Genomic DNA, 21,852 nt, shown 5'->3' with positions numbered 1-21,852 from the left:
TTTTTTTTTTTTACTGATTCAGTATTTTATTTAATAAGTTTCCCAAGAGTAATTTTCCATCAATTTCTTCCCCCTTTTTATTACTTTAGGATTCTAACAGGCAATTATCCATCATTTCTCTCTCAACTGTTTTGACGGTACTACAGTAAAAGAAGCTCAGAAATAAGGACGTTGGGGGGAAAAGTGACTGTGAATAGAAACCAAAAAGCTAAAAGGCATGGAGGGGAAGCTAGAGAAGAGTAAAGCACAGCCCCATTATTTCTCTTCCAGCTTTTGCATATAAATATGAGTGAGCTCTAAGACAAAATGTGCTTTAAGAGGCAAACATTCAACAAATAAAAAAATACTAAGCATCTATAACTTCACATATTGTACTTCAGATCATTTCTCTTCAGCAGAGATGCAATATTTGCTGCAATGAAATATTTTGGGATTCAGTTTTCTGTGTTCATACTAACTACTACAATGAAGATGAGAAACCTCAACTTTTAGAGGAGGCTGTGTCCAAAAAAGTTACACACAGAGATAACAGCAATAATAACTACCTTAGGCTGAAAATAACCATCCTCTCTTTTGTTCTCTAGGTAACCAACAAGAAATGCAAGCCGTCGACAACCTCACCTCTGCGCCTGGTAACACCAGTCTGTGCACCAGAGACTACAAAATCACCCAGGTCCTCTTCCCACTGCTCTACACTGTCCTGTTTTTTGTTGGACTTATCACAAATGGCCTGGCGATGAGGATTTTCTTTCAAATCCGGAGTAAATCAAACTTTATTATTTTTCTTAAGAACACAGTCATTTCTGATCTTCTCATGATTCTGACTTTTCCATTCAAAATTCTTAGTGATGCCAAACTGGGAACAGGACCACTGAGAACTTTTGTGTGTCAAGTTACCTCCGTCATATTTTATTTCACAATGTATATCAGTATTTCATTCCTGGGACTGATAACTATCGATCGCTACCAGAAGACCACCAGGCCATTTAAAACATCCAACCCCAAAAATCTCTTGGGGGCTAAGATTCTCTCTGTTGTCATCTGGGCATTCATGTTCTTACTCTCTTTGCCTAACATGATTCTGACCAACAGGCAGCCGAGAGACAAGAATGTGAAGAAATGCTCTTTCCTTAAATCAGAGTTCGGTCTAGTCTGGCATGAAATAGTAAATTACATCTGTCAAGTCATTTTCTGGATTAATTTCTTAATTGTTATTGTATGTTATACACTCATTACAAAAGAACTGTACCGGTCATACGTAAGAACGAGGGGTGTAGGTAAAGTCCCCAGGAAAAAGGTGAACGTCAAAGTTTTCATTATCATTGCTGTATTCTTTATTTGTTTTGTTCCTTTCCATTTTGCCCGAATTCCTTACACCCTGAGCCAAACCCGGGATGTCTTTGACTGCACTGCTGAAAATACTCTGTTCTATGTGAAAGAGAGCACTCTGTGGTTAACTTCCTTAAATGCATGCCTGGATCCGTTCATCTATTTTTTCCTTTGCAAGTCCTTCAGAAATTCCTTGATAAGTATGCTGAAGTGCCCCAATTCTGCAACATCTCTGTCCCAGGACAATAGGAAAAAAGAACAGGATGGTGGTGACCCAAATGAAGAGACTCCAATGTAAACAAATTAACTAAGGAAATATTTCAATCTCTTTGTGTTCAGAACTCGTTAAAGCAAAGCGCTAAGTAAAAATATTAACTGACGAAGAAGCAACTAAGTTAATAATAATGACTCTAAAGAAACAGAAGATTACAAAAGCAATTTTCATTTACCTTTCCAGTATGAAAAGCTATCTTAAAATATAGAAAACTAATCTAAACTGTAGCTGTATTAGCAGCAAAACAAACGACATCCAATTGTCATGCTGCATGCAAAACTACACAGAATTCATGTTTTGCAGAGTTTTGCCAAAATGAGTAATCATATAATATTTACTGTAATTTTTAAAATACATTATCGTTCACAATTTTATTTTTTCATAATCAACTAAGGAAGAACGATCAATTGGATATAATCTTCTTACCAAAAATGATAGTTAAAATGTATATATATCCTAGTCCCCTAACCAAATCCTGACCTATTGGGATACTTATAAAAATTTAAGTAAGTGGGATACACAAAGAATAATAACTATTAACTTTTCATTATTAGCAAAAACCTAAGGGATTTAAACTAATTGAAACTGTATTTGATTGGACTTAATTTTTTATGTTTATTTAGAAGATAAAGATTTAAAGAAGACCTTTACAATAAAGAGAAGAAATATCGAAGTCATTAAAATAAGGAGACTTACTTTTATGACATTCTAATACTAAAAAATATAGAAATATTTCCTTAATTCTAGAGAAACTAGTTTTACTAATTTTTTACAACTTCAATAATACCATCATTGACACTTACCTTTATTAATTAGCTTCTAGAAAATAGCTGCTAATTAGGTTAATGAACATTTTACCTTAGTGAAAAAAATTAATTAAATATGATTACAAAGTTGCACAGCATAACTACTGAGAGGAAAGTGATTGATCTGTTTGTAATTACTTGTTTGTATTGGTGTGTATAAAATACAAAATTTACATTAAACTCTAAATCATTCTTTGTTGTAAATTCTTTGTTCAAAGATATTAGATACCATGACTCACCATACCATATACAACTACATCAAATCCATTTAAGAATTAATGCCAACACCTTTATTACATGTTATTGTGCAAAGTCTCTTCTGAAGATGACTTCTCATTTCAATAAGTTCAAATGTAAATGATAAAACAGGTCAGACTTATAACATGCAGTCTAATTCTACACAAGGCATATTCGCTATTTTAACATAAACAAAACATATAACACATGTGGAAGTTTACATCACTTATCTCAATTTTTTATGATCCTCAGAGGTGACTCTCAAACAGAAGGAGGAACAGACATCAATACCTAAATATAATGCCAGAAGAAATAAAAGGGTGTATTGTTGTATAAAGTTCACTGAACTTTAATAATAATCACTTTTATTGAAACCCTCTACAACCTCTGCTGAGTTCTATTTCATTACGAAGCTGAACTCATTTAACTACTAAGTGGTATTCATTTCCAACCAGCCACATTTCTTTCTCCGGCACCACTAAAAGTGAGCACTCAGTGTCAGTGGAGATACAGAGACAGTTCATATAGTATATAACCTATACACTGCTGGGATAAACAGCAGTAATAATTTCTGCTATGTAGACTAGTACAGTTCACTCTAAAATCATATGCATAAATTTACATGTTCTATAGGAATACCAGGATATTTGAGGTAGAAGACAATCTAGAGATCAACTAATCTAACCTTCTTCTTTTGCATATAACAAAAATGAAAGGCAGACTCATCCCTCCACCCATTCAAGTTGGGGTAGAGCATGGACTGAAACTGACTACTTCACAGTGTCATGGAGGTCAGATGTTCGGAGACTACAGAGGGGACACAAACTACCCCCAAAATCTTTGTCACTGAGATGACAATTTCCACAAGAGATGAAATAAACAGAAATGCTAATAGTAATATGGTATTTTAGTAAAAGTAACTGAAAGTATTTGAAATTACCTATGTTTTATGAGTATGTATATATGCCATGGAAATTTTACATAAAACTCTAAAATCACACTTTGCTGGGATATCTTTATTCAGAGACCTTAGACATCATATACTACATCAAACTAAACCCATTCAAAACAGTGTGAGAGTTAGTATTTATGGAGGGATCATTATACATAAAACATGCCATTATCTCTAGCTTTTGGCATATTAATATATATTAACCCCACATTTCACAGTGAGTTTTACTTTTTTAAATGAAGCCAAATTCTGTAGACTCAGGTCCAGATGTGAAAAGTTCAAAAGATGAGACAACAAAATGTAGTCTTGCCCATAGCCTCAGTGGCTTACAAGTCCTAAAGGTATTGGTTATTGACAGTTTTTCTCAGTGGTTTCTTACAGAAAAGGTCTGAAGCAGGTGTTGGCAAACTATAGCCCACAGGCCAAATCGCAGCCCACTGCCTATTTTTGTACAGCTTGGGATTTAGGAATGTTTTGTTTTCATTTTTGTTTTTAATTGTTATGGATACATAATAACTGTACATATTTATGAGAGTAGAATGACAGTTACTAGAGAGTCATGGGGAAGGAGGAGATAAAGAGGTACTGGTAAATGAGTACAAAAATACAGTTAGTGAGAAGGAATAATATCTAGTGTTCCATAGCACAATAGGGTGACTATAGTTAAAAATACTGTATTGTATATTTCAAAGTAACTCAAAGAGTGGGTTCCTAATAGAAAGAAATGAATGCCTGAGGTGATGGATATCCCAGTTACCCTGATTTGACCATTACACATTGTATACTTACATGAAATATCACGTGTACCCCTTTTCAAATGTTTGTGAGGAAAAAAATCAAATGAATAAAATTTCATGCCGAATGAAATTTATATGAAATTTGAATTTCAATGTCCATAAATAAGGTTTTATTGGAACACAACTATTCAGGTTTTATCCATGGCTGCTTTCATGCTACGACAGAGCTGAGTTGCTGTGATGTAGACTGCATGGCTCACAAAACCTAAGTATTTTCTAACTGGCTCTATAAAAAAAAGAAGACTGGGGGACCTGGTGCAGTGGCTCACACCTGTAATCCCAGTACTTTGGGAGGCCGAGGCAGGCAGATCACCTGAGGCCAGGAGTTTGAGACCAGCCTGGCCAACATGGTGAAGCCCTGTCTCTACTAAAAAAATAAAAATTAGCTGGGCGTGGTGGTGGGCACCTGTAGTCCCAGCTACTCAGGAGGCTGAGGCAGGAGAACCGCTTGAACACACGAGGTTGCAGTGAGCCGAGATTGAGCCACTGCACTCCAGCCTGGGCAACAGAGTGAGACTCCATCTCTAAATAAATAAACAAATAAAAATTAAAAAAGAAGACTGCTTCCCCCTGGACCAGTACTTTAAAAACAGGTGGAAAAAAACCTTTTACAAAAAAAAAAACACAACTCTCTTTTTGTACCTAGGTGTTTCAATCATTTTGCACTGAAGACATCTGATCACTGTTCACTGCCAACACTCAAGGTGTGATTACAATACTGTCAGTGGGAACTAAAGATGTGGAAATGCACTTCATAATCAATAGGTAGTGAGAAATCGCCTTTTTTTTTTAAATGGGGCAAGAGCATGAAAAGGCAATTTCCAGGAGAAATAGAAATGGCAAAAAAAAAAAGAAAGAAAGAAAGAAAAAACACATAACATCACCAATAAGGAAATAAATTTATATTTATATAACATGGCTTTTTCACTTACAGATTTCAAATTAATTTAAAAGATTTTTTTTCTTTTTTTTGAGATAGAGTCTTGTTCTGTCACCCAGGCTGGAGTGCAGTGACATGATGTCAGCTCACTGCAACCTCCGCCTCCCGGGTACAAGCAATTCTCTGCCTCAGCCTCCTGAGTAGCTGGGATTACGGGCACCTGCCACCATGCCTGGCTAATTTTCTTATTTTTAGTAGAGACGGGGTTTCACCATCTTGGCCAGGCTGGTCTTGAACTCCTGACCTCATGATCCACTCATCTTGGCCTCCTAAAGTGCTAGGATTACAGGTGTGAGCCACCATGCCTGGCCAAGAATCCCACTCTTAATTGAACAATAAATTGGTACAATCTTTCTGGAAAACTATTTGAAAATATTATTTAACATTTTGACAAATAACTTTTTCCTAGAAGGACTGAACCAATAATCCTTCTTCTAGGAAACTTCCTACAAACATGCTAGAAAAAATGCTCAAAAATATATGGACACATACATGCTCTATAGCATTGTTTTTAATAGAGAAAAACTATTATCGTAAACTAACTACATGCCCATCAGTCGCAGCTTAACTATGGTAAATTTATGTAGCATAACTGATTTTAAATTTGATTGGCATGTTGTTAGAGAAATGCAGATCAAAACCACAATGAGACATCATCTCACACCAGTTAAAATGGCTATTACTTAAAAGTCAAAAAATAACAGATACTGGTGAGGTTGTGGAGAGAAGGGAACACTTACACACTACTGGTGGGAAAGTAAATTAGTTCAGCCACTGTGGAAAGCAGTTTGGCTTTTCTCAAAGGACTTAAAACAGAATTACCGTTCAACCCAGCAATCCCATGACTGGGTATATACATAAAGGAATAGGCGTTATTCTATCATAGAGACACATGCATGTGTGTGTTCATCACAGCACTATTCACAAAAGCAAAGACACAGAAGCAACCTAAATTCTTATCATTGGTATACTGGATAAAGAAAATGTGGTACATATACACCATGAGATACTATGCAGCCACACAAAAGAAAGAGATCGTGTCCTTTGCAACAACATGGATGAAGCTGGAGGCCATTATTCTAAGCAAACTAACACAGGAACAGGAAACCAAACACCAGATGTTGTCACTTGTTAGTGGGAGCTAAACATTGAATTCATATGGACACAAAGAAGGAAACAACAAACACCAGGGCCTACATTGAGGGTAGTGGGTGGGAGGAGGGTAAGGACTGAAAAACTACCTATCCGGTACCATGCTTATCACCTGGGTGACAAAATAATCTGTACACCAAACCCCTACAAAACACAATTTACCTATGTAACAAACCTGCACATGTACCCCTGAACCTAAAATAAAGTTAAAAAAAAAATCACGTCAGTCTACATGTACTAACATGGAATGAAACAAAAATCCAATACATAAATAAATGTAAATATATTTGTACACATATATTGGTATGTATATGTATTAACTTTCACTTTCTACTATATATGTTTGTATTTCAATTTTTAAACATAGTGTGAAATATTAAATGTTCCAAATAGCAGTGAATTTATTGCCTATCTCTAGCTACATGTAGATATTTTCTACTATTGTTCTTACTCAGAAAAACAGATTGTTACATTAATAAAAAGTATAACTTATTTCAGCTTATTATTACCACTTTTAGTTTACCACTTTTAGTTACTCTTGTATGGAATTTTTAAAACAATTTCACATAATCTGAGAAAGTACCATGGTATACTTTGATGGGAAGTAAAAGTCTTTTCTAAGAGTATAGAAGTATAGGAGTTCCTACTTCAATTTTCATCCCAAATGAAAGCAAATACTTCCTCATCTTTTCACATATTATTTATATGGTACTGGGCCTTGGACTGTCAATTTTGATGCAACTGAGAAATCCCAAATAAGACTACAAATGGAAATAGTAGTTTATTCCTATCTGGCTAGAGACTGATTTCTGTGACTTTTCATTTTATCTTCTTTGTATCCCTTCTGATCACACTGCTTTCACTCAATTTACATTGGCATAAAGTTTCACAAGTCCATTAAACATTGTGGCTGATTGTTTCCTTCTCACACATCAGGAACTTTCAGCTCAAGAACTCCAGAATTTGGCAAACAATTCCACTGTCACCCTATCTATGGCTTAATCGGAGGCAAGAGAGTGAGGCAGGTTCCAAGCATGGGCTCTGGAACCAGACCAACTGTGTGACTTTACGGCAGATTTGGGTTGCATGATATGGGGAAAATGGCTTAACTTCTGCATTTCCTTTTTTCTCAACTCTAAAAATGGGACCAATCTCTGGGGATTGTTAAGGATTAAATAAGATAATATAATCACTTAAAACAGTATAGCTAGTGTGACTTTACTGATTTTTAACTACATTTCCTTAGAGCCCTATAGGATCTTAAATGTTTAGTTTATTCCCATTTGATAGGCTCCTAGCCTCTGGGATCTTTCACTGTATCTTCTTTGATTCTTCTCTCCTTTCGTGAGACATCACCATATGTATGCACAACATTCCAATTTTCTTTCAATTTCATTTAACAAGAAACCTACATGATACCTACCACATGACAGACATTATTCTAAGCACTGGTGAATGTTCACTCATTTTATTCTTTTAACAACACTGTAAAGCAAATACTATTATTTATTTTTATTGTAAAGATAAGGCAACCATTTCATAGTGGGCATAAGCAGCTTGCCTAAGGTCATAAGAAAAGAAAGAATTGGAAAAAGGAATTGAGCCCAGGCACTCTGGCGCCTAAACATTCTGCTGAGCAGCTTCTCAGCTGTGTCTTCAAGGGCAAAAGGCCTCCCCAGCAGGCAATAGTGCTGCTGTAAACTAAGGAAAAATCAGCTAATACATAAGAAGCACAAACACATAGAAATGAATGATCTATTGGATATTTACTATAGTCAAACACTTTGACATCTACCACATTTAAGAGACTCTATTTCCATAACTCTAGAAACAGGCACTGTAAGTCAGTTCCTCTTTGGAAAGTTTCCCACACTTCAGTGTTTTGAAATTTGACCAAGAAGTGATTTCCAGTTTTCAGATTATGAAATTATCCTGCACAGAATTTATCTTGCTTAAAGAAAAACTATTCCAGATCTTCCTTTAGATTATGGATTTGGGGCTATAGGAAAATTTACAATTAATTTTGTAGGTTAAATTTCTCTACTTAAGAAATAAAGGATTTTTTTTCCTCTGCTGAAGCAAACAAAAAGATATACATTTATGTTTAAGACATACATGTATGTTCTATTAATGAAATCTTGAATCTATACTCCCAAGGATTAATTTATTTCAGTCAAAGAGAAATTTTTCAAACTGTGCCGTTATTGGGTAGTCTAATCAAAACTATTAGACACTGTATTGCCTCATATTTTAAAATGTCCAGGGGGATATTAAGTTTTTCTTCTCAGAATTCAAAGCCAAGTCACCCAAAACTTTGTGATCAACTAACACTAGTCTCGTCTAACTCCATGGTAACACTTGTGGCAAGAAACATGAAATGAAACTCACCATGAACTCCACATCCTCCGTAAGATCTCCTAATTTCCGCTTTTCCTATGCCTACCTGGCAAGTAGATTTCTGCCATGGACAACAACTTTCTCTATGCAAAAGCACCATTACATCTTTCAAACTTGAAGAGAATTAAAGCAAAAAAAATGCACAGATATTGGCCCAATGTTGATTGATGAAATTCCTGAAGTCCTCTGCACTCGAAATACACCAAATACAAAAAAGATTTCTAAAAATGGCCCTCTACTAAGTGAAAGAGTATAATATCTCTATCTGGATTTGCAATTCATTCCCATGGCAATGGGACTAAAAGCCACTAAAAGTGGCTAACATTTTTTAGTGCCTCCTATATGTCAAGCACTATTCCAGGCAACCAATTCATTCTTAATAACACAGTGTGTTAGATACTATTTTCAAACCCATTACACAGATGAGGAAATTGAGACACAGAGCTGTTGAATCATTTATCTATAATCTAATCCCAATTAATTGGTGGAACTGGGATTCTAACTCCAAAAATCTGGATCTAATAGTCTTCACCTCTCAGAAAACATCATGTTAACTCTCAGAGATCCCCAAACCAGAAGACTAAGTCAAATACCTACAAAAATAAACATACCGTCTTCCTGAACACAAATTACTGGAAAATCCAGTTTACAAGGATACAGAAGATTATTCTGTCTGATTTTAGGTAGTCTTATTCTCCTACTTGATTGTAATTTGGGACTATTTTCTTCATCTTTCTACTTTCCACTATATACAAGAGGCACTCAAAAAGTTCACTGAACATGCAGATCAAGAAGATAAACTTCAAGAAAGTTATGAAGAAATTTAAAGATAATTGCAAATAAGCTTCTTTATTCAAGTCACAGATTAACAGTATGAAAGTTTGAACTAAAATAGAGTATTAGCAAATGTCCCAAAGGTCTAAATATGAAGAGGTTCTAATGGGTCACATTACATAAGTAAAAATAAGGAAGGAAATCCACTATAAGAAAGCAGAACATTTGCTTCACATGCTCATTTGTAGGCTGAACTAATGACTGCCGCCATAAGAAGACAGAGAGAACTGAGTATCCTCCCAAAGGTGAATTTCAATTTTTGTTATTATGAGTGTGCTTGCTTATATAAAAGAATATGCTTAAGGGAAAAAAGGTGCTTTAAAGTTAATATTCTACAAACCATAGTTTATGAGCATAAGAAATTACATAATTTACAGCAATCTGATGTATTAGTAATAATAATGTATTATTATCTCTTAAACAGTGTTTTGTTTTATGGCTAACAGTAGCACCTGTGAATGAGGCAGAACCTGTTATTTGGATTTCACAAGGATGTGAAAGTAATGGTACTGTTAAAAGTACCAAAAATGTATTATATGCTTTAAAAATTCTAGCCAGAAAACAGTATTTTCCTTTTCAACACATCTATTGAAAGTGTTGGATAAATGCAGGATGTTAATATGCTATAAACATAAAGTCTGTTTTTAAAAAATAGCATTTGAAAATCATGAAGGGCTTTTTGTTTTCTTTTGTTTGTATATATGTTTATTGGTAACAGGTGACACTGGAAGCAATGAACACCACAGTGATGCAAGGCTTCAACAGATCTGAGCGGTGCCCCAGAGACACTCGGATAGTACAGCTGGTATTCCCAGCCCTCTACACAGTGGTTTTCTTGACCGGCATCCTGCTGAATACTTTGGCTCTGTGGGTGTTTGTTCACATCCCCAGCTCCTCCACCTTCATCATCTACCTCAAAAACACTTTGGTGGCCGACTTGATAATGACACTCATGCTTCCTTTCAAAATCCTCTCTGACTCACACCTGGCACCCTGGCAGCTCAGAGCTTTTGTGTGTCGTTTTTCTTCGGTGATATTTTATGAGACCATGTATGTGGGCATCGTGCTGTTAGGGCTCATAGCCTTTGACAGATTCCTCAAGATCATCAGACCTTTGAGAAATATTTTTCTAAAAAAACCTGTTTTTGCAAAAACGGTCTCAATCTTCATCTGGTTCTTTTTGTTCTTCATCTCCCTGCCAAATACGATCTTGAGCAACAAGGAAGCAACACCATCGTCTGTGAAAAAGTGTGCTTCCTTAAAGGGGCCTCTGGGGCTGAAATGGCATCAAATGGTAAATAACATATGCCAGTTTATTTTCTGGACTGTTTTTATCCTAATGCTTGTGTTTTATGTGGTTATTGCAAAAAAAGTATATGATTCTTATAGAAAGTCCAAAAGTAAGGACAGAAAAAACAACAAAAAGCTGGAAGGCAAAGTATTTGTTGTCGTGGCTGTCTTCTTTGTGTGTTTTGCTCCATTTCATTTTGCCAGAGTTCCATATACTCACAGTCAAACCAACAATAAGACTGACTGTAGACTGCAAAATCAACTGTTTATTGCTAAAGAAACAACTCTCTTTTTGGCAGCAACTAACATTTGTATGGATCCCTTAATATACATATTCTTATGTAAAAAATTCACAGAAAAGCTACCATGTATGCAAGGGAGAAAGACCACAGCATCAAGCCAAGAAAATCATAGCAGTCAGACAGACAACATAACCTTAGGCTGACAACTGTACATAGGGTTAACTTCTATTTATTGATGAGACTTCCGTAGATAATGTGGAAATCAAATTTAACCAAGAAAAAAAGATTGGAACAAATGCTCTCTTACATTTTATTATCCTCGTGTACAGAAAAGATTATATAAAATTTAAATCCACATAGATCTATTCATAAGCTGAATGAACCATTACTAAGAGAATGCAACAGGATACAAATGGCCACTAGAGGTCATTATTTCTTTCTTTCTTTTTTTTTTTTTTTAATTTCAAGAGCATTTCACTTTAACATTTTGGAAAAGACTAAGGAGAAACGTATATCCCTACAAACCTCCCCTCCAAACACCTTCTCACATTCTTTTCCACAATTCACATAACACTACTGCTTTTGTGCCCCTTAAATGTAGATATGTGCTGAAAGAAAAAAAAAACGCCCAACTCTTGAAGTCCATTGCTGAAAACTGCAGCCAGGGGTTGAAAGGGATGCAGACTTGAAGAGTCTGAGGAACTGAAGTGGGTCAGCAAGACCTCTGAAATCCTGGGTAAAGGATTTTCTCCTTACAATTACAAACAGCCTCTTTCACATTACAATAATATACCATAGGAGGCACAAGCACCATTATTAAGCCACTTTGCTTACACCTTAAGTGTGTACAATTCAAGTGTGAGAATGCTGTGTTAACTATTCTTTGGAATTCTCCTTCTGTCCAGCAAATACTCTAATGATGGTTAAACATGGCACCTACTCAGCAATGCCTTCCTGGACCACAACCCCTATCCCCCTGCCCCACCCTCCTCATTAAAAACAAATACTTCTACTGTTTGGGTGTGTGATAGGGTTCTCAATGCAGATCTCCCTTTTCTAGTTAGCTATATTCTTGACTGCATCCGCTAAAAATGTTAAAGCTTCTTGAGAGACAGACATGCCAGATTTTCTTGGTATCTCCCATAATACGACCTACAGTCCATGGTCTACAGATGTTTTAAATAGAATTGCTATTCTCGATACATACAAAGACGTAATTGCTGACCCACAATCAGTAACATCCATATTGAGAGATTTTTCAAAGGATGGTGACCCTGCTTGTATTTATTTACCTTGGTATTTTTTCTTGCATCCTTCTGTGATTCAAAAAAGTAAAATGTGGCTTTCTGAAATGATGGATAAGAGTCTACATCTTCTAGAAAAAATACATAAAGGAGTAGTTAAGCTCTGTAAATGTGCCACGAGCTCCAACACGACCATCGTAGGGTGAAGCCCACGTTTTCTTCCATGGCCTCAAAGGCCCTAGAACTTGCCTACCTTTCTGGCCTTACCTCCTAGCTACTTATCCATCTCTTGAACTTTATACTCTTGTATAAATTTCTAACTTTCAGAAAATGCCATACTCTGTTTTGGCACCACACATGTATATTTCCCCCTGGTACACTTGGAAGACTCTTATCCATCTGTGAAACCCTATGTTGTCATCACTTGGTCCATGAAATATTACCTGGCCAATATCCCACCATCACCTCAAACCCAATCACCCCCTCCTCTGTATGCTGTCACACCTATATTATTAAACTTATCACATTGCATTGTAATTACTTCCTGACCTTTGTATCTACTCTTTTAGTAACTGATGTATATATCTGAAAGGAGAGATTGTTTCATTGTGCAATCAATAAATGTTTGATAAAATAAAGCCCATTTGGTTTATTTTATGTATTAGAGAAGCAAAAGGGAAGCCAATTCTCATTGATGTTTTTATTATCCAAAGACAACATAAATTTCTTGAAATGAAAGCTCAAGCTCTGTCCACTCTCCTATAACATGTATGTAGGGCCTGAAAATTGTGGTGCTCCTGGGGTCACTAGTGAATGATCATGACAACAGGAGGATCATGGAATAGCCAAATCCAAAGTTTTAAAGCTATTGACAAAATCCTTTAGCTATGCACTATTGATAATGGTTAAGTAAAATTTGTAACTGTGAATATAACAAACACCTTTAGAAAGTACTCTTGATGTCTGATCTTCATTCTCTCTGATAAAAGAATTAAATAATCATTACTATTAGGGATGCCACTAAATCCATATTACCTCTACTGAGTACATTACACAATCACAAATAGACTATAATCATGTAAATAACTGCATCCAAGCTACCCTTGTTAAACAGCCAGGTATGTCTGGTGGGGTAACCTGTGTATTTTGCCTCTAATGACAATTTCAATCTCTACTTAATGTGGGTACACCTAAAGTATACAATTTTTGGGAAAGATCTTTCAAGATAAATTCCAAGACCAAATCTGTCATCCATAAATACAAATATTTCATTCCATTATAATATTCCACTCAAAGGCAGAGTGCCTGATCTGTAGAATAAAATAATCTATTACATCAAGAACGTGGTGAAGAGGCATAGTAGAGAGATCTTAAAATCACTTTCACAAAATGAAGAACTTCCTAAAATCACTTTCACAAAATGAAGAACTTCCTAAACTAGCAATCACAAATACTAAGTTCTAAAATATTAAAAAAAACAAGATGCTACAATATAGTCATAAATGATACACCAAAAAGAATAAAAGAAAATAATAGCTTTGGACTGATAGAATATGTGAGCTCAGAATACAAAGGCTTTTGTCAAAAGTTAAAATGTAATTACTTGTACAAATAAATAGGATAAGATCTTCCCAATAACCTTCAAGAAAAGAGAGGGGTTGAAGGGAGTGAAGTTCCCACACTCGGAAGAATTCTTGAGAAACCAAGGAAGATAACTGTAAAGTGGAAAGGATGAGGCAGAGAAGGAGTGAGAATTCTCAATTCATGGAAGCCAAAAGGTAGATAAAGTCATTATGTCATAACTTATAAAACAATCATTCAATCTTATTAATCCCATTATTTCTTACATTCCATATCCATTTAAAAGCTTTTGCCTTTCATAACTTTCCAAGGTATTCTTTCTAAAATACTTAACTCTTACCCCGACATAAACTGTATTCCTTCAGCAAATTAACAAATCAAAGTTCACACAGATATTAACAGAATATCCAGAGCAAAAAAACCCAAAGTCAGTATTATCTATTATTTAAGAAAAAACATACTTAGAAGACAGTAGCCCTACTAAGGAAAGTGCAGAATTTACAAATCATTTGAAGCACCCAGAAACACATCTCAACATTTGAAATTTTACATAGAAACCAAATGTAGGAAATATGAATACAGAACACATGTGCCATATTAGTTTGCAAATTTTAGTGGCTACCGGAATCGGCTGGAGAGATTCTCCAAATACACATTGCTAGAACCATCAAAACAACAAAGCAGCACATCTGTCTCCTTTAATAATCCCAGGCAGGCTATGAAATGCTTATTATCTTCATTTTAGAGATCAAGAAGTTGAGAAACAGAAAGGCTAAGTAACTTGCATGAGGTCACAGAGCTTGCCATCTGCAGGAATGGGGCTTTAATTGAGACGTGGCTTCTAAGCCCATATTCTTAACAACTGTATTTACAACCTCAGGTCTAATTTTCTCAAGTGAATTCACAATTCCAGTCTCCCATGCTATATTTCCTGTTATTTACAAAACTTCCGTAGCCACCCCCATGCTCCCTGACCCCACAAAAACGATACGTTTCTGTGTGGGTAGTAACCAGCCCAGATGCTGCCAGGTAATAAGCCCTGACCTAGAGGCTAACAAGAACCTCCCAGGACCTTACCCAAGCAGCTCACACTCATTTCCTGAATGCCTGCTGTGTGCCAGGCTCTTTACAAAGATTATCATTTTTCTAATTCTTACTACAATCTTATGAGACAAATACTACTAGGCTCTCTAGTTAAAAATAGGAACAAAACTGAAGCACAAAGTAAACATACACCTTGCCCATGGTGCACATCACTCACCAACAAATGGGGCAGAGCTGGGACTGAAACCCAGGAAGGTGGTCTCAAGACCAGCACCTCAACTGCTCTGGTCACTGCCTCTCTGTCCTGTCAGACTTAGCAGAATTCCTCAAAGGCCCCACTAGGGAGAATGAGGAGGCTTCTTAGAGGGGAAGAGAGAAGTCTCAACACGAATGGGCTTCAACAACCTCAGGGGTATGAATGGTGCAATAGTGGCACCTACAATTACTTCAGGGGTCCCTCCAGCACTTGAGAGCTCAGGGGGAGTAAACTCCCCAATAGTGGATTCATTTGTTCATTTAGCCAGTCATTCCTTCATCATCAACTTGGGTACAGGGCCTTTTGCATCTCTAGAAGGTGAACACTGGTAAGGAACACAGATTATAATGACTCAAGATGTGATAAGAGGTGTGAGAGACACACCACAGAAGTTCAAAGGAATAGGCAATTCATTCCACATGGAGAAAATGAAGAAGGGTTCACAGGAGATGGAAATTTGAACTGGAACTTGAAGAAAACAGAGCATTCAAAAGGGAACCCTGCGGCACAATAAGCAGTTTCAAGGCAGGCTCAGGTAGGGGTGGAACTGTGCTGTGGTTGGAGCGTGAGGGTTGCAGGGGGCCTGAGCCTACAGCACATGACATAGGGAATACATTTGGGACAGAGATGCAGGACTGTACAGCCAAGCACTGTACTGGGACATCTAGTCTTCACTAATGAGTCGTTGAAGGTTTCTAAGGTGAAGAACCACATGTTCTGGGCTGTGCTTTAGGAAAATCAATTGACCAACTATAGGATGATTCTAGACTGAAGGAAGAGCCAGTGAGGCCAGGTCAATTAAAGAGGCTTTCCATGTATGCAGGCAAGAATGATGGGGAAAACATCTGACATGGACCTTCCAGACATTCTCAGGGAGAGAGGTTTTAAGTTCAGAGTCCAAGACCATTGAAAGTGGGGGACTCTATGTAAAACATGTGGTTAACATGTAAAATATATTAGCAATGGGATCCATAATGCCTCCACCCCCTTCTCCTCGAATTGAGGGTTGATTTCTCTCAGGACCGTTAGCTTGAACGATTTGCTAGGTCATCATCACAGAAGTGGATTTGGGGTATGTTCCATTTGAGGTATCAGTGAAAGAGCTAGGGTCAAAGAGCCCACAGCTGGGCCAAAATATGGACCCAGGCTCCAAAAATAGGACTAAGATTAGAGGTCTAGGGAATAATCTTTTTTGAGACAGGGAGAGAAAAAGGAATGAGATGAGAACCCCAGAGGCCATACTACACAGGTCTCATGGTCACAACAGACAGAAGAGGAACAGGGGATGATGCCTTGGAACTGGGAGGAGTGGGTAGTGTTAGTAGAAAAGGAGAATCAGGAAGTCCAGTGTACTGAATACCAAGGAACAAGAGAGATTCAAGGAGGAAGAGATAGCCAACAGAATTATACACTCTAAATTTAGTCAAAAGTGATGAATCTACAACTATAAGGTCAACGATAACTCTGAGGTGGAAGTGGGGTGAGCTCCAGTTTGTGAATGGGAAGTGAGGAAGTAGAAGCAACCCTTATCTTCCCATAATGGATAAGTCAGTTTAAAAGAGTTCCATGGGGCGCCAGATGCAGTAGCTCACACCTATAATCCCAGCATTTTGGGAGGCCAAGGCAGGTGAATTGCTTGAGCCCAGGAGTTTGAGACCAGCCTGGACAACATGGTAAAACCGCAACTCTACAAAAAATAAAAAAATAAAAAAAAAATTACCTGGGCCTGGTGGCATGCACCTGTAGTCCCAGCAACTCGGGAGGCAAAAGTGTGAGAATCACTTGAGTCCAGGAGGTTGAGGTTGCAGTGGGCCATGATCACACCACTGCACTCCAGCCTGGATGACAGAGCAAGACCCTGCCTCAAAAGACTTCCAGGGAGAAACAAATCAGCTTTTATATTAGTTAGGCTTTTCCCAGGGATTTCTATGAACATGTAGAATAATTCCTTTCTATGCTATGATGTGCATAGTGAACATGTTCCATGTGAAATAGCTAACAGAGAAGTACAAATCAAACAGTTGGGTGCAACCACACAGGCCAGAGAACTCAGCCTTGGTCAGAAACTGGGTGTATCAATATTTTCAATATCCATGTAACCCGGGTTTCTGCTTCCTTGCCTCCATTCTCATTCTAATATGAAGTCCTTATAGAAAAAAATAAGATGGGAAGAAAGGAAGTCAGAGGAAAGGAGAGATGGGGACACTAAGAGAAAATGGTAGGAATGGAAGTTGAGACAATTGGGGGGAGTGATAAAAGGGAAAGAAAAAGGCAAGATAATATGAAAGAGAAAGGAAATTAAATTTAAGACTTAAGGAAGTAAACTAGTTCTTTAAAAATTACATAACTTACTCAGCATGTGAACTTTTGCCACTCTTGTAATACAACTCAAACTGACAAATATAACATCCTGAGGCATAATAACAGAATGTCCACCTTTATTTTTGAACTTCAGTTTAAACGTTAAATGTGTGTATATGACTTTACTTACTGGTGTTGATCTTAATTGTATCTAATGTATTTCTGAAGGCTTTCATAGCTTTGGGTTTTTTAAAAAAAATATTAGCTTTATGTATTGACTTTATATCATATATACACATAATGTCACTGGTCTTTAAGTCTTTTTTTATTCTATTTAACTGTACAACTGAGTTTCCTAAGTCCAAAAATGCCCAAACTGTGAATGAATGAAGCTTTATCCTGAACACAGTAACCCTACTGAGACGACCTCCCTTCTCTCCCCATATATTCTAACCTCAGCTTTTATAGATTCCCACAATTTCAGATAGTCTGGAATAAAGAAGTCCAAACTTCCTTCTTTACAGGAGAAAAAAACTGTCAAAAAAGATTATAAAAAGCATTTCAAGCAATCATCAGTTTGTCACTAATAGGAAACCAGAAGCTTTCTAAAAGCAACCAAAATTATGGATGTACCTTAACTTCTAAGCTGAGGCATATCATTCCAACTCCACCATGCATCAGACACCCCATTCATTCGCTTGCTCTCCCTTCACCTTCTGACAAAAGACAAAGTGCTCCTGTACCCTTAAATGCCAACCAAGTTCCAAACACTGTGGAACTACACTGTATATATTTATCCTGAATAGATTACCTCATTTAAGCTTTACAACCCTACATGGCAGGCATTGCCATGCTCATTTTCAGAAGAAGATATGCTTTGCCCAAAGTAAAAAAAGCTGCTAAGTGGAGATGTTCCAAATTGGAGTTTACCTGACCCCAATCACTAGTCTTGTCACAGCCGGACACTGCCTCTCGCACAAGCAAGATTTACAAAGCAAGGAGATAGATTAAGTTGCCCAGCATAGGAAGGAGTATCAGTAAAAGGACAACAGTCAGAGATGCAGCCTTATCTCCAGACTCAATCTCCAAACCATCCCCCTTCCCTTTAATCAAATGAAGTTCTCATACCAGAAAAAGGTGTTTCGTGTAAAGCAGACCTGATAGATACAAATAATTTCAAATGACAGATTAAACACAGTAATTCAAGCATAGGGACCCAATGATACCAATCTTGTCAAAGGACTGACTATTAAAGGGCTTATAATAATTATACTCAGCACAAGTTCTCAGCTACTGGATGTGAGCCACAATTAGAAAGACTTGTGTACAGAGATGGAACAGTAAGACTTGGGCAAAGGTTTTACTATAATCCTTGTTGCATGTTCCAGCCACATGGAAAAGACCAACACGGGCATTCAAGAGAGATCACCTTGAGCTATGTTGCAATTAGATCCCTGCTTGTCTTTGTTTTGTAATAACAAGTTAGTGTACTATAAAGGACTATGACGCCCTTTATATGTGCATTTTCCTTAAGAAGAAACAGATACATCTGAGATTAGTGATACAGAAAAATGAGATTATAACACAAATACTATGCCTACCAACACTGGGAGGAAACACTGTCCCCAGGTCCACACCAATGCAGAAAAGCCAAAGAAAGAAGGGAGGAAAAAGTCATATGCCATGGAGAAACCACTAGAAACCAAGGTAAGCCTTGGTAATACATTTGCTCAATGTCTCATATCAAAAACATGAGAAAACAGAATAAAGAGTTCATTTCAGGACTGAGAAAGGCTTATGAGTAATCTTACCTATTTTAATTCCTTCGAAGATGTGACACTTTTTCTCCTTGAGCGCCCCTGTCTCTTTAAGAATATATTTTGAAAAATCAGTAAGATTACGGGAATCCTCATTTGAATTTCTGTGACTAAACCAAATATGTTTGGTTTAGTTTGTTGCCAGTTTGTTGTATTTTGAGTAAAGAGTTATGCTATGCAGATTTTGCCATTTTTCATGATGATTCATAAATAATAAATGAGGTACTGCTCATAATCTGACATTTTACTGTCGTCAGTAAATATGTTGGAGTGGGGAAGAGTATATGTGAAAAACAGTAACAATTTATAAATCTAGATGAAATCTAGTTGAACAATTCTTTCAATTTGTTTGTAGTCTTAATACCTTTAAAAATAATGTTAGAAGGAAAAAAATCACCCTAGTATAAAAACAAAACAAAATTTTTTAAAGTTTTCTGGTGGCCGACACACACACACACACACACACACACACACACACACACGCACACACACACACACACCTGGATGTTCTGTATTTAAAATAAATTTGGGGTTTGTAATGGCTAAACAAAATTAATAAAAGAGTGCCCTGCATTTAACAGGATTTTCCAATGAAGTGGAAAGGAAATTATCGCTATGAAGATTCCCGGGGCTTTTATGAAATGTGAGACTTGCTATAAAAACCAGCAGGAAAAAAATTATGCTGGTTTACCTTTCGATTATGTGAACAATAATAAAGCTATGGGCTGGCTGTTAGCTGCTCTTTGCATCAAAGTGTTACACTTTTTTCATGACTAAACATGTATTACTTCCCTTTTGGAATGTTAGGTAAGACCAGCTTTCACAAGTCCCAACTTGAGACTGGCATAATATACTTTAAGACTAACGCATAAAGGCTGCCTTGCGTTAACTTTTTTGTTACTATACTAAATTTGCGCTGCCAGCCAACGAAACACTGAAACACTCCAAGCCAGCTGTTAGGCTACCGTCCCGGGCACGTTGCTTACAGAGGTATTGGGAAAGGAAAAAGTGCATCCTATCCCAAGCCCACTTCAGGAGAAAAAGGGGGCCACCTACTGTAGTGAAGGGACATCACCTTATTTCCTACTTAACACCATCACACATAAAGTTAAAGATGCTTCATTATACAGGAAAATTTCATAGGCCCCTCACAAGCCCTTCTTCGCACTTAGAAGGGCCTATGATAACCCTTTCACAGTAGGGCCCTCTCTTTTTTTTAAAAGGTCTTTATTCTTATAACAGAAGCCTGTCAAATATCTGTCAGAATAAGCTCCCTACTAAGATTTTATACACATCACTGGAAATTTGGGGTGATAATCCTCAGTACTTGCAGCAAAGTTCTTTGCACAACATACTTTTATGGGGGCCATAAGAGATGCTTCTCCCTTTGACTGATGCCTTTAGTACTTAACAGTTAGTTGTTCTGGCAGTAAAATGTCAAATTATGAGCAGTACCTCATTTATTATTTATGAATCATCATGAAAAAATGGCAAAAAGGTCAACACAAGGACAAATCTCCCAAACTAAAGTCTGCATAGCATAACCCTTCTGCTCAAAATACAACAAACTGGTTTCAAAAAAAAAAAAAGAAGAAAAGAAAAGAAACTGGCTTCAAATGCTAAATCAATGGGGAAGTATAAAATAGCACAGAGAGAGTCAAAACTAAATGAAGGATTGTTTGTAAATCTGCAAATTCTTAAAAGATTAGGCCATTATTAAGTTGGCTAATTGTTATTCAAACACCTTCCCCAGGACTAGCTACTTTTCCGTAACATACTTAATCCACCCAAAGCAGAATGTAAAAAAAAAAAAAATTAAAATTGTAGGTGTCTGTTTTTGTATGGTTAGGAAGCAGATAGGAAAATACAAAAAATATAATTTTGATACCCAACTCTTGATTTTTAAGTTAAACACCCATTTGTTTTTCTGTAAAAACATAAGGAAAATCAACTAGTACGTACACATTATTTCCTTAAGACACAAGTAAACACTAAGTAATACCTATTATAGATTTATTCACTCCAAAAAAGTTTTCACCTTTGATTATTTTCATTTATCTTCATCCACAATAACAGGTTTTGATTCCATTTGATGAAATTTTATTTTTTTAAATGTATTTAAATGTTGCATTCAAGAAAATATCAGAATCTTTGAGATTCTCATCTGAAAGCAAGAAAATTATTTACAAATCAGAAAAAGTGGCCGGGCGCAGTGGCTCACACATGTAATCCCAGCACTTTGGGAGGCTGAGGCGGGCGGATCATGAGGTCAGGAGTTCAGGACCAGCCTGGCCAACATAGAGAAACCCCGTCTCTACTAAAAATACAAAAAATTAGCCGGGTGTAGTCGTGGGCACCT

General features: G+C 36.8%; 3 protein-coding genes across 28 annotated transcripts in view; 2 read left to right on the top strand and 1 right to left on the bottom strand.

Annotated features, from left to right (window-relative positions):
- The window catches only part of P2RY12 (purinergic receptor P2Y12), a 47,911-nt gene extending 45,310 nt beyond the window's left edge, over nucleotides 1-2,601 (top strand). For both annotated transcript variants that reach the window (NM_022788.5, NM_176876.3), the window contains one exon: nucleotides 585-2,601. In NM_022788.5, the coding sequence (NP_073625.1) occupies nucleotides 599-1,627 (1,029 nt within the window). In that variant the 5' untranslated portion in view covers nucleotides 585-598 and the 3' untranslated portion in view covers nucleotides 1,628-2,601. The remainder of the gene's footprint in view (nucleotides 1-584) is intronic.
- The window catches only part of MED12L (mediator complex subunit 12L), a 350,990-nt gene that overhangs the window by 97,210 nt on the left and 231,928 nt on the right, over nucleotides 1-21,852 (bottom strand). The window lies entirely within an intron of this gene.
- Nucleotides 9,895-13,132, top strand: P2RY13 (purinergic receptor P2Y13). 2 transcript variants are annotated; one of them, XM_006713664.1, is made up of 3 exons: nucleotides 9,895-9,963; nucleotides 10,437-11,012; nucleotides 11,852-13,132. In XM_006713664.1, the coding sequence occupies exons 1-3, from the start codon at nucleotides 9,916-9,918 to the stop codon at nucleotides 11,900-11,902; spliced, it is 675 nt and encodes a 224-aa protein (XP_006713727.1). In that variant the 5' UTR covers nucleotides 9,895-9,915; the 3' UTR covers nucleotides 11,903-13,132. The 2 variants fall into 2 exon arrangements, with proteins under 2 accessions (XP_006713727.1, NP_795713.2); NM_176894.3 differs by having other exon boundaries at nucleotides 10,437-13,132.

The sequence above is a fragment of the Homo sapiens genome, chromosome 3 (assembly GCF_000001405.40).
Source record: "Homo sapiens chromosome 3, GRCh38.p14 Primary Assembly".
Lineage (NCBI taxonomy): Eukaryota > Metazoa > Chordata > Mammalia > Primates > Hominidae > Homo > Homo sapiens.
Note: the sequence above shows the minus strand (reverse complement) of the source record. Positions and strands in the feature narration are given on the sequence as shown.